The sequence below is a fragment of the Homo sapiens genome, chromosome 8 (genome assembly GCF_000001405.40).
Source record: "Homo sapiens chromosome 8, GRCh38.p14 Primary Assembly".
NCBI lineage: Eukaryota > Metazoa > Chordata > Mammalia > Primates > Hominidae > Homo > Homo sapiens.
The window spans coordinates 142,286,941-142,298,993 of NC_000008.11; the positions used below are offsets into that span (position 1 = coordinate 142,286,941).

At 62.5% G+C, this 12,053-nt stretch overlaps 1 protein-coding gene across 43 annotated transcripts in view, besides 1 other annotated feature; it reads right to left on the reverse strand.

Moving 5' to 3' along the window:
• TSNARE1 (t-SNARE domain containing 1) overlaps positions 1–12,053 on the reverse strand; it is a 194,950-nt gene that overhangs the window by 74,861 nt on the left and 108,036 nt on the right. The gene's annotated exons all lie outside the window — the stretch shown is intronic.
• Positions 7,098–7,599: an enhancer, noted in NCBI's record as "H3K4me1 hESC enhancer chr8:143375399-143375900 (GRCh37/hg19 assembly coordinates)". NCBI's record gives its function as "activates a minimal SCP1, AML or CMV promoter by ChIP-STARR-seq in naive H9 embryonic stem cells {active_cell/tissue: H9 hESC(naive)}" and the evidence as "EXISTENCE:reporter gene assay evidence [ECO:0000049][PMID:30033119]".

Below are 12,053 nucleotides of genomic sequence, written 5' to 3' on the forward strand. Positions count from 1 at the left end.
TCACCTGTTATTGCTGCATTTGACAGGGAAGACGGAACCTGAGTCACTGAGAGGGTTAGTGACTGCCCAATGACACACAGCTGGAAAATGCTGGAATCCGCATCCAACCCACATTTAGACAGACTCCAACCCAGGTCACTACCACCATCAACGCGGGGTGGCACCCAAGGCCACCCTCCAGGATGTGGAACCCAGGACCCCGGCCAGATCTCAGGGACAGTGGGCCGCCCTCCAGGTCGTGGAACCCAGGACCCCGGCCAGATCTCAGGGACAGTGGGCCGCCCTCCAGGTCGTGGAACCCAGGACCCCGGCCAGATCTCAGGGACAGTGGGCCGCCCTCCAGGATGTGGAACCCAGGACCCCGGCCAGATCTCAGGGACAGTGGGCCGCCCTCCAGGTCGTGGAACCCAGGACCTCGGCCAGATCTCAGGGACAGTGGGCCACCCTCCAGGATGTGGAACCCAGGACCCCGGCCAGATCTCAGGGACAGTGGGCCGCCCTCCAGGTCGTGGAACCCAGGACCTCGGCCAGATCTCAGGGACAGTGGGCCACCCTCCAGGATGTGGAACCCAGGACCCCGGCCAGATCTCGGGGATGGTGGGGCTCCCTCCAGGATGTGGAACCCAGGACCCCGGCCAGATCTCAGGGACAGTGGGCCGCCCTCCAGGTCGTGGAACCCAGGACCCCGGCCAGATCTCAGGGACAGTGGGCTGCCCTCCAGGTCGTGGAACCCAGGACCCCGGCCAGATCTCAGGGACAGTGGAACCCAGGACCCCAGCCAGATCTCAGGGACAGTGGGCCGCCCTCCAGGTCGTGAAACCCAGGACCCCGGCCAGATCTCAGGGACAGTGGGCCACCCTCCAGGATGTGGAACCCAGGACCCCAGCCAGATCTCAGGGACAGTGGGCCGCCCTCCAGGTCGTGGAACCCAGGACCTCGGCCAGATCTCAGGGACAGTGGGCCGCCCTCCAGGTCGTGGAACCCAGGACCTCGGTCAGATCTCGGGGATCGTGGGGCTCCCTTCAGGACGTCCCGTGCTGCAGCCACCAGCATGGGATGGGCCTTACGTGTGTGCACCCATCAATCTGCTTCCCATGAGCAGGGGCAGAGAAAGGCCACACTGGCATGATGCTGCTGTGTCCCTGGGGGGAAGCATGGCTCCGAGCCCCTGCCCAGCCTGTGGGGATGCAGCTTTGGTGAGAGATGCCAGGGAGGGGTGTGGCTGAGCAAGGCCGGGTCCAGTGCCTTTCAGGGGCCTGGGACGCCCAGCGGCTGGGGCGGGGTGGAAGAGGGGCAGCTGCGAGTCCCTGAGGCTCGGCCTCAGTGTTCCAGGCACGCCTCTGTGCACACACGGCCACTGCACTGGGCGTTCCCTGCTGACATCAGAGTCAACTTCCACAACCCCAAAAGCGCGGGCTGGGACACGGTGTTCCCAAGACAGGCAGAGACCCTGTGGTGCCCCCAGGGCACAGATGGCCTGCATTCTAGGTTTTGGGGGAGGCCCCCGGAGGCAGTGGCAGAAGTGATTTTCCATCTCATCGCCGACACTCACTACCACTGCCTGGCTTCACAGATAGCTTGCTCCTCCAAGGCCCCGGGTCCTCCTGGGCAGAAGGGTTTTGTAGTCAGTGCTGGTGCCGAGGATGCGGCTGACAGGAGCCGGCACTCGCGGAGCCACCTGCTATCCACGCCAACCTCACCAGCAACATGTCAGGCCCGCAGACAGAGGAGCTGGTGGGGGGTGGGGGCATGTTCTCTGGGCTGGGGCTGCTGCCGGGGCTCCCGCCCACTCACTGCTAGACTCAGCAGAGAAGCAGCAGGAGCAGTGATAACTGCCCATTGGGATGAGCTAAGACACAAAATGTTAATTTGCACCACAGCCAGCGCGGGGGACACACAGACTCCAAGCCTTCAGTGCAGTGGCTGTGCCTCCTGTGAGAGGGGACCATGGCTCCTAGCACCATGGGCTCATGCGTCCCAGCTTCAAGAGGCTCGGCCAGCAGGGCTGGCAGGTCCTCAGGGCTGCATGCCGAGAGGTTCCCACTCCCTGACCTCTTTCGAGCGAACGCAGCATTTGTGTGAAGCCTGCTCTTCCTCATTTTAGGCGCCCCTCTCTTTAAGACGCCTGGCACTCAAACATCGGCCTGGTCCCACTTCCCTGCAGAAGGGTGAGCTGCCAGCTGGCCCAGCCCACTCGGAGGCACCCCCTGCCGAGGCGCTCACTGATAAGTGAACATCATTCACCTCAAACAAAGCGGGAGGCAAAGCCTGAACAGCAGCTCGGGCTCCAGGCAAGCAGCCACAGTTAAGAAACCCCTGAGCCTTCTTTTCTGGAAAATGGCTCACCACAGAGAACCACTTCCCACAGGCCCTGGGCACGGCCAGCTGGACCCAGTCCTTGGGGAGCACTCTCTGTATAGAAGGGAAAGGACGCTGAACTCAGATAGCAAGCCTGGGGCCCCTCCCTGCTCCCCAGCCTGAGGCTGGAGGCCAGGGCCCCACTATCCCTCCTGGCGACCGAGCTGGGGATCTCACGGAACCAACTGAGAGGGCTGCTCAGGGCACAGGCAGCCCCAGAAACCCAGGTCCTGCCACATCAGCCACACGAGCTGCAGGCTACGAACACACCACTGTGCTGTCTCAGGATGGGGCAGGGTGCACCCTGGCCCTGAGGCCTGCACTAGAGGCCCCAGATGCAAAGGGATGGGCCACTTCTACCAGGCAGCCCCAAGCCCTCTGCATAGGAGCTTCCTGAAGGGAGCAGGGAGCCTGAGGCACTGCCTGCCTTTGTGTCTCTTCCTCCATCATGGGAGGCCGCCGGGACTTACTGGGGATTCTCCTTCGTCCTGGCCCAGTGCTGGTCCCAGAACAAACAGAGGACTAAAGAGCTGAACATACCCTGCGGCTGCGAGAGAGCCGGGCAGGCGCAGTGGGGCTGGGACCTGCAGCTGGGCCTGTCGCTGATGGTGCAGGCAGATCCCAAGGATGGGCCCAGAGAGGGCCCACCACAAGAGACAGAAGAGGGCCTCTCAGGCAGGCAGCTAGCATGGGTGGGTCCCCCCAGGCACTGTGGGCCCTGGGCCCTGTGCACCTGGGCAGGCCTCGGCTCCTGAGGAGGAAGCTCGGGGCAGGCGCAGCTCCACTCCCAGGCACACCTAGGAGACTTGCCAGAGATTTGGGCTCCCCCACGGGCCTAGGTGGGAGCCTAGTTCCAGGCAGAAGCCCCGTCCTCAGTCCTGGGGCGACAGAGAGGCCAAGGCCAGGCCTGAGAAGGGTGGGGCCTGCTCGAGGGGCTGGGACTGCCCCGGATGGAGCCCTCCAGGGCAGCAGCAGTTCTGGTGCTGTTCTCGGGGGACACGCAGGCCATACCCTGGCACGGCAGCCAGAGGGCGGGAGAGCGGGGAAGACCCAGAACTTAGTAGATGGTTAAATCATGCAATTATTTTTCAGACTGCTTCTAAAACTAGAACTCATTAAAAGCGCTCATGGAATTTTCTTTCTCTTCTTTCACTGGCACAGCGGAAAAAGCCCCTTGCACGAGACATAATAAAACCTTGGTGTGTGTGTGCCTGTGTGTTCCCTTCACTTTCCAGAACGAGAAGTCAAAACATCACTGCATTTTTCTCTATCACACCATCTCTTCTTATAATTAGGATCTTGGCAACCATCCACCTACAAAGACGACTATTCCAGTTAATGGAGCCACCAAACCGTATGCATTTATTTGTCCACTCGCCCATTTATAGCTAGAGATCAGCCAGGTCAGGCACCTTCAGGCTGTGCAATGCCAACCACAGGGCAGGTCTGCTGGGCTCTGCCTGGGGCCTTGGAGCCCCGCCTGGGCCATCTCCGCATCCCATCCTCCGCCCTCCCGGGCCTGCCAGGTAGCCATGGCAACAGAGCAGGTGGCGTATTCTGAGCTCTGTACCTGGGTCAGGTGATGCCCACTCAGGAGCTCCAGCAGGTGAGATGGGCTTGGCGAGGGAAGCCCAGTGCAGACACAGAGGGGCAGGTAGGCAGTGCTGGCAGAAAGCAGACACCAGCTCTGGACCAGTGCCCCGGTGAGCCTGCTGCACGCTGGCAGTGGACTGAAGGGCACGCGCCTGTTCCCTCCAACCTCTCCTGCCCAGGGAGATGAATTGCTGCTCGCCACCCGCTGCTCAGGACTGGTGTCCTCAGCTGGGGATTAAGTCACTGGCTCCTGGGGCGCTGGCTCTTTCCATGCCTGGCTCTGGACCTGCGGGTGGCCTTGGAGACAAATCCCACCACCCTCATCTCAGAAAGGCCAAGCAAAAGTCGGCTCTCCAGCATCGCGGTGAGGATGGCCTTGTGCTGGAGTAGGGCACCTGGGCTCGAATCCCAGCTCCATGGCGTGTGAGCTGTGTGACCCTGGGCAAGCGATGGGCCTGCTCCAAGCCACCGTCATCTCTGACAAAATCAGAACGTAGGAGTGTTCACTCTCACAGAGCTCTGGTGTGGGCTGAGACACATATAAATAATGTCAGCAGGGCCTTGTCGTTAAACACAGAGCCTCCATGGAGTCCCAGGATAGAAACACACTCACCCAGCCCCCGACCCAGCCCTCCTCCACCCACCCCACCCAGCACTGCCACCCACCCATTTGTTCATTCAGCAGCCACTGGGTGCCAGGCAGCGTCAGGCCGGTGAGCTGCTGCGAACGCAGACGTGACGGGAACAGGCAACGCCGTTGCCTCCGCGGGCTTACGCTCGAGTGGCGAGAGATGAATCCTAACGAGAACCCAACAGTGTGTGGGGGGCGAGCGTGGGAGCGGCAGGGGTTAGAGGACACCCCTGGAGTCAGGGCCTGCCAGTGAAAGGGAGCCAGCGGCTCAGGCGTCAGGCATAGGGTGCTCTGGGCCTCGGGCAATAGGAACCAGGAGCAGGGGTGGCCGGGCCTGCCCAGGGAACTGTGAGGTGTGGGGTGAGGAATGAGGGAGAGGACAGTCCATTGGGAGTACGGGGTCAGCTGCCTCTCCCGTGGACGGTCACAGCAACGCACGCCCCCCCCGGCCCCCCACCTGTTTCAAGCAGAATGTGATAGAAGGGACACTGTAGGGTTTCTGAGGCTCGGCTTCCTTCTGGCTCTGCCGGGGTCCTGGCAGCATCCTCCAGGGCCCAGCCTCCATGCCAGGAGGAAACCAGGCCATGGGAGAGGCCAAGCGTGGAGCTCCAGCCGAGATCCCAGCCTACATCCCAGCCAGTAGCCAGAACACCAACACGAGACAGGGGCAGACAAGCCTTCCCGAGAGTCTCCACCCTTGGCTCTCCGAGCTAGTGGACAGGGAAAGCAGTCTCAGCTTTGCCCCGTTGGAAGTTCTGACCCACAGAACCCACGAGCTTCCCCCGTGGAAGCGAGGCGAGGGCCGGAGAGGAATGGAGGAGTGCCGAGAACCAGTGGTGGGAAGGCAGGTGCGGCACCCTTTCTCATGGGAATTTTGAAGATGGGCATGACTGCAATGTGCTTGCTGATGGGCAGAATTGGACGAGGGAGACGTGAGGGTCCAAGATGGGCCTGTGGAGGTGGTGGGTGGCGGGCACAGACAGGGCGGGAGCCACAGGCTAGCTGTGGTGCAAGCAGCTCACCCACCGCCCCTGGAGAAGAGGCCGGCCAGACCCCAGGAGGCTGTCGATGAGCTCTTCTAAGGGCTTATTTCCCCTTGGAATGAGAAGCAAGGTCAAGGTCAAGGTCACCAGTGGGGTGAGGACAGGGAAGGAGAGCAGACATGAAACAAATCACAGGAAGACTGTCCCGAGCCCCCAGAACGCCACCTAAGCCCCAAAGCGCATTGAGCATGGAGCCCTACTCCAGGCTGCACCAGACCCACCAAGGGCCTTTCAGAGCCCCAAACAGTTCCCAGCCCTATCCCAGACCAACGCGGGCAGAACACATTTCACCAGGTGCCCCGCCAGTGTGGATCTACAGCCCCGCACCACCACAAAAGCACAACCCTGTCAGTCGGGCTCTTCACGGGGTGGCAAGCTCCACCTCCCCCACACTCAGCACATAGAAAGTGGGGGGGCCACGTGTCAGACCACGGCTCGCCTTTCCTGCCCCAGAAAGCTCCAGGACCCCACATGAAGAAATCCCAGGACTCCGGAACCTCCTAGGCTTGAGTGCTTTCCTTCCTCAGGAGTCCCCAAGAAAACGCAAACCCCTCCCTCGAGCAGCCGCACCGCAGGCCATCAGCAGCATCTGCTGCCGTTCTCAGTGGCACCGACACCCCAGCTGGCAGCAGTGCAAGGCTAACCCCTTAGCGTACAGTGAGCTGCTGAGCCAACAGCAAAGCCCAGGGTTCACCTGCTCACCCCAGAGCTTGGCCGCATTCCCGAGGCAGAGGGCCGGGACGCTTGAAGGAGGGAGGGGCAGGTGGAGATCCCAGCGTGGCAGGAGGGTGGGTGTGGGGCACGTGGACAGCCACGGCCACACCTCCTGGCGCGGGTTCTTCCCAGGCCTGAGTTCTCGCCAGGCAGTTACACTCCACCGTGGCACTTTCACCCTGAGGCCAGCAGAGGCTGGTGTCATTGTGCCCATTTTACAGATAAGTAAACCGAGGCTCCAGGAGAGACCTGCCCAGGGTCACATGGCCCAGTGGTATGGCTGTGCCTGAGCCTGGGATCCTGGACCAGCACCTACTTCTCCTTGTCTAGAAGACACCTGAGGCCTGCAGGCTTCCCTCCGCAGGGGACAAGGAAGCTTCCTGGAGACCTGGCTGTCATCCCTCCCACCAGCCTGGCTGCCAGACAGCTCTGGCCACCTCGGATCGAGGGTCATCTCCTGCTAACTGGGTGCTATTGGTGTTCAGACGCCACCTGTTGGCTCTGCCCTGGAGCATCTGCATCTACCCACACACTGCAGGGATGCATTTCAGCCCCATGGGGCCCTCAGCAAGCAGGAAGTGGGGCTGCAGTGGGGGCGGGAGAGGAGGGGCCACACTGGCCCAGCCTTGGCACTAAGCTTCCCCTGGCCACCACAGCCACCCTATTCTTTATCTTGGTCAAATAAAAAAGGTTACCTAGGCCCCACCTGGAGGGGCAGGGACAGGGGCAGGGGCAGCTGGGACAGGGGCAGGGGCAGCCCACCCAGGGGCCACGAGGAGAGGGAGTAAGGGAGCCCAGGGAGGGGAGGAAAGAGCAAACTGCTTCAGGGTCTGCAGAGGGCTGGGACCCCCTGCGGACCTCAGAGGATGCAGAGTGGCCAGAGGGAAGGTGGAGGGCGGTGTGAGGAAGGGCACCAGAGGTGAGACGCAGCAAAGGCCAAGAGGGTGCCCAGGGCCCCTGGGAGAATCGAAGGGCATGAGTTTGCAGGGACGAGGCAGGGATCAATCACCTCGCTAACACCTGGGGAAACAGCAAGGGCCCAAACACCAGGCTGAGGGCTGTCCTTTGTCCTTCACGCCCTCACCCACAGCATCACTCGGACTAGTTTGCAAAGCACTTTGCAGTCACTATCTCAAGGGCCTTCTCATTCCCAACCATCTGGCAGGAGTCGGAGACCAGGGCTCAGAGAGTGACCTGGGAGGCACCGGGCATGGTTCTGGCCTGGGCTCCTGGCGGCAGCTGGCGGCCCTGCTGTGTGGCCGTGGGCACCCTGCCTCCTCTGGGATTCCCACAGCTCAGTGCAGAGGGTGGAGGCAGCTGTCCTGGAAGCCAGCTCTCTCCTGGCCAAGGCCAAGAGGAGATGGGGCCGGTCAGCAGGGTCCATACAGGGCCGGCACAGCTGCAGGAGCTCGGAGGGCCTGGCTGGACAGGCAGACAGCTGAGAGTCAGCAGACAGCCCTACAGAGGAGCTGCTGCTGCAGGGACGGGCAGTGGCTCCTGGACACGACCTAATTAGATGCTCAGACACCTCCTCGCCCATGCCAGGGCTCGCACTGCTGCTCAGACACAATTGAAGCTCACACTCCCGGTGATGAGATGGGAATGGCCTCTCCATCTTCTCCCCCATCCAGACAGAGCCACTGGCCAGGAGGCTGCCAGCCGCCAGCACTCACCTCCGCGGCACCTGGATACCCAACACCCGGAGTCCTGGGAGGCTCGGGGCTCCAGCCCGGACCAGCACCAGGGGCTACCCAAGGCTGGAAGGCCAGAGACAGGCTACCTCTCAGCTCAGGCAGGGAGGGGAGCCCCAGGGAGGGGAGTGAGTACACAGTGGAGACAGGCAATGTTCCGGGACCCCTCGAGCCTTCTCCCACCCGAGCAACCCATAAGCAGACTCAGCTCCCACATGTGACTGGCACAACCCCTCCCGCTACGACCCTCCTCTGGGAGATGGTGGGCAGCCCCAGGTGAAAAGTTCAAATTCCAGGGCTGCCAGACCCTGCACCCTCCAGAGACAGATGGCACTTGGGTCGGAGTCAGACTGCCTGGGTTCCAGCCCTGTGGCCTCCCCCACTGGGAAGTGGGCATGGTGTCCTCCCTGGAGGGAGCTTGTGCACTGAGCCGGCCCCAGGTCCTGCTCACTCTTGGGTGGCCGCTCTGCTCCTCTAACACCCCTGTGTATGCAGCTGGAGCGGGCCTGTCTGGCGGAGAGTCCCAGCACCATGGAGAGGGCCAGGGCCCCATGCAGGCCAAAGACGGCTGCCCTGCGGCCAGTGAACAGGCCACAGAACACATAGGGGGCAGGCCCCCGTCACTGGCAGCCCTCAGCCTCCACTGGCCGCTGGGTGGCTCCACTTCTGCTCTCAGAGGAACTTTAGTGTATTTATCAACTCCATTCCTGCACAGCAGAGAAAAAGGAAGATGCCCAACATAAACCAGTAAAGAGAAACGTGGCCTGGTGTGCTTCCAGCTGGGCCGTCCATTGCCCAGACTCAGGCTGGGAATGCTCTGGGGCTGGCCTAGCCTCTGCCTGCACCTCCAACCCCCTGCACTCACCACACAGCCCTGCAGCATGGCTCTGCAGGACACCCTGTGCGCAGGGATGAGATGCTACCTGTGGGACCTGCGTCCATCCTGGGTGCCGGCAGTGAGGGCTCAGGACAGGCCTAGCACTGGGGGCTGGCTATCATCAGGGATGGGCCGGCCACTGTCATGGGAGGGGGGAGGTCACTCATGGGAGAGAGGCAGTCACTGTCACGGGGGAGGGGGTGATGACTGTCATGGGGGAAGGGTGGTCATTGTGGGGGAGGGGGTGGTCACTCATGGGGGAGGGGGTGGTCACTGTGGAAGAGGAAGGTGGTCACTGTCATGGGGGGGTGGTCACTACCATGGGAGAGGGGGTGGTGATGGTCATGGGGGAGGGAGTGGTCACTGTCACGGGGGAGGGGGCAGTGATGGTCATGGGGGAGGGGGTGGTCACCGTCATGGGGGAGGGGGCAGTGATGGTCATGGGGGAGGGGGTGGTGACTGTCATGGGGGAGGGGGTGGTGACTGTCATGGGGGAGGCGGTGGTCACTCATGGGGGAAGGGTGGTCACTGTCATGGGGGAGGGGTGGTCACTGTCATGGAGGAGAGGTGGTCACTGTCATGGGGGAGGGGCGGTCACTGTCATGGGGGAGAGGTGGTCACTGTGGGGGAAGGGCAGTCACTGTCTTTGGGGGCACTGGCCAGTTTGACACGTCGGTTCCACAAGTACTGGCAAGTCGCTGTGGAGCCCACTACTCCAGGCTCTGGGGATGGGGCTGACCCCAGGCAAGCAAGGGCCGCTCACCTTCTGTCAGGGCAGGGACCAACCAGAGACTCCCCGTGGGAGGCGGACAGGGGGCTAGGGCAGTCGAGGGCAGTGGGGAGGGCCTCCCTGAGGAGGGCACGCCGTGGAAGCAGCAATGCTCAGATCAGGGCAGGGTGCTCAGGGGCACATGGAAGCCAGCAGGGGTCCTCAGGGTGGGTCTCGGCGGTCCCCACAGGCTCCCCAGGACGGGGCAGGACACCCTCCCTCAGAATCCGACTGCACCAGGCCTGGGCGGGGGCAAGGTCACTGCCCAGAACGGAGGCTGGCCTGCTCTCCACTGTCTCCCGTGGGTGGCCTCTCAAGCCAGCCTCATGGCACCCCCTGGGTCCTCTGACAGGCTGTCACTTCCACACGGCCCGCTACACTCTGCCTACGGCCACACGGGCTGTCCCAGCTGGCAAGTCCCTGAGGACAGAGAGCGACCTTCCACCTGCCCACTTCACAGATGAAATGAATGAGGCAAATCGGGGTTCAAGGTCACCCAACCAGTGAGCGGACACGGGCCTAAAGCCAGGACAGCATGTCCCCAGCCTGGCCCTTTGTTTTGTCCCAAGGATGATGCTGGGAAGGAGGACAAAGGAAAGGGATGCTGGGCGTGGCCATCTGTCCCAGTGGACAGGAGCCCCCAACACAACCCCGATCTGCACCCTGCCTGACAGCAGCCACGGACACTCGAGGAGACCAAGAGCAAGGCGGAAAGTGGGCACCAGGAATCGCGCAACACTGGCCCACTACTGTGATACTGCTTCCCCTCCCTGGGCCTCAGCTGGCCCGTGTGTTCACACCCCACTAGCCACCTAGTAAGTCATTGAAGGCTGGCCACAAAGGGGGCTCTCTCTCAGACCTCAAGTCTGCCCTAGGGGACTTCTGAACCTACAAAATCTTGCAAATCCCAAAGCCCCCAGTGAATGTGGGAGGAGAGATGAGGGGATGAGGGTGCCGGCTCCACAGGAAAGGGCTACAGCCAGCCGAGGTGCGTAACACAGCTCCACAAAACCCTGCCGCCCACCCCCCGAGCCCTGCGCAGGCTGCAAAGATGGCTGCAGAGCAATCGGGCCAGCAGGGCCTGGCACGTGCGACCTCCGCTGCGTCACAGCCTCTCATGCGTCACGCTGGAGTTACTGTCACCGGGACCTGCTGCAGACCGTGGGGAGGGCTTCCTAAAGGCTAATGACAATTTGCGTTTTGTTTTTCCCGTTTTCAGAGACCAAAGGGAGGGAGTGATGCAGTGAGGTGTACAGACGCCTTCCAAGAACGACTCCCACCCCGCCGCCCTCCGTCCCGCGCCTGCTGTTGCTGGCATGAAGATCCACATCCTCTGCGTCACCCCCATGCTGCAGACAAAGAAAGTGAGGCTAGAAGGGCCAGGCTGGCCATGGGGCCTGCCCACTCTGCACCACTCCCAGCCCCCCTGCTACCCCCCGTCCGCACAGTGCTGAGCTGTGAGGGTCCCCGAGGGCCACAGGCAGAGCCCAGGCCACCTGGGTCCTCTGGTCTAGATGCAAGCCCAGGCCCGAGTGAGTTCAGTTCAGCCCAGAGCCCCAGCTTTCCTCCCGCCCTGGCCCAGGCCTCTCCATCTCTGAGCTGGACGACTGCAGTGGCCTCCACGTGGGGCGCCCTTGCCCTGGGAAAGGCCGCTGCTCAGCCCACACTCACCACACAGAGTGCCAGAGGGAACCCGGGGCCAGGACTGCCGGTTGGAGAGGCCCTCACACAGAGGATCGCGGACGGGGCAGCCAGCCCCAGCCTCCACTCCTCTGAACCCCATCCTGGGGTGGCTGCACCGGGCACGAGCCCTCACCAGGCCCTGGGAGCAGGACTCCCAGGCCAGGACAGTGAGAAGCCAGCCCCTCAGGTGAAGGTGCCACGCCGGAACCCCGAGACCCGTGCCACAGATGCTGCTGAGTGAGCGCCAGGAGGCTGGAGGTGGGCCAGGAGCCAAGCCTCTCCCTGGACGCTGCCCTCTAACGGCCTCCTCATGCCCGCAGCCCTCTGTGGGGGTTTGGGCTTTTTGGCAGAATGAGCTTCTGTGAGCGACCTCCACTCCTTGGACTTAATCAATAAGCAGCGCCTCCTCTCTCCTCACGACACTCTATGCCCCACAGGGAGGGCTGAGCCTGAGCCGCCCGAGGGGCTGTGACTGGACCTTCCCAGGAGGATCTCAATTCCAGCACAAAGGGGAAGCGGTCCGTCTGCCTCTCTAGCTGTGAAGCCTTCAGGGCAGTGCTCCTGGAGGAGCTCACGAGCACCCGTTTCTCCACTCCTCTGGGAACAGTGGGCCTCGTGCACCAGCAGGAAGGGATGGAAACCATCTCTGTGCTTCGGGTGGTTCTCTGGAGCATCTCAGCAGCAGCAAAGGGCT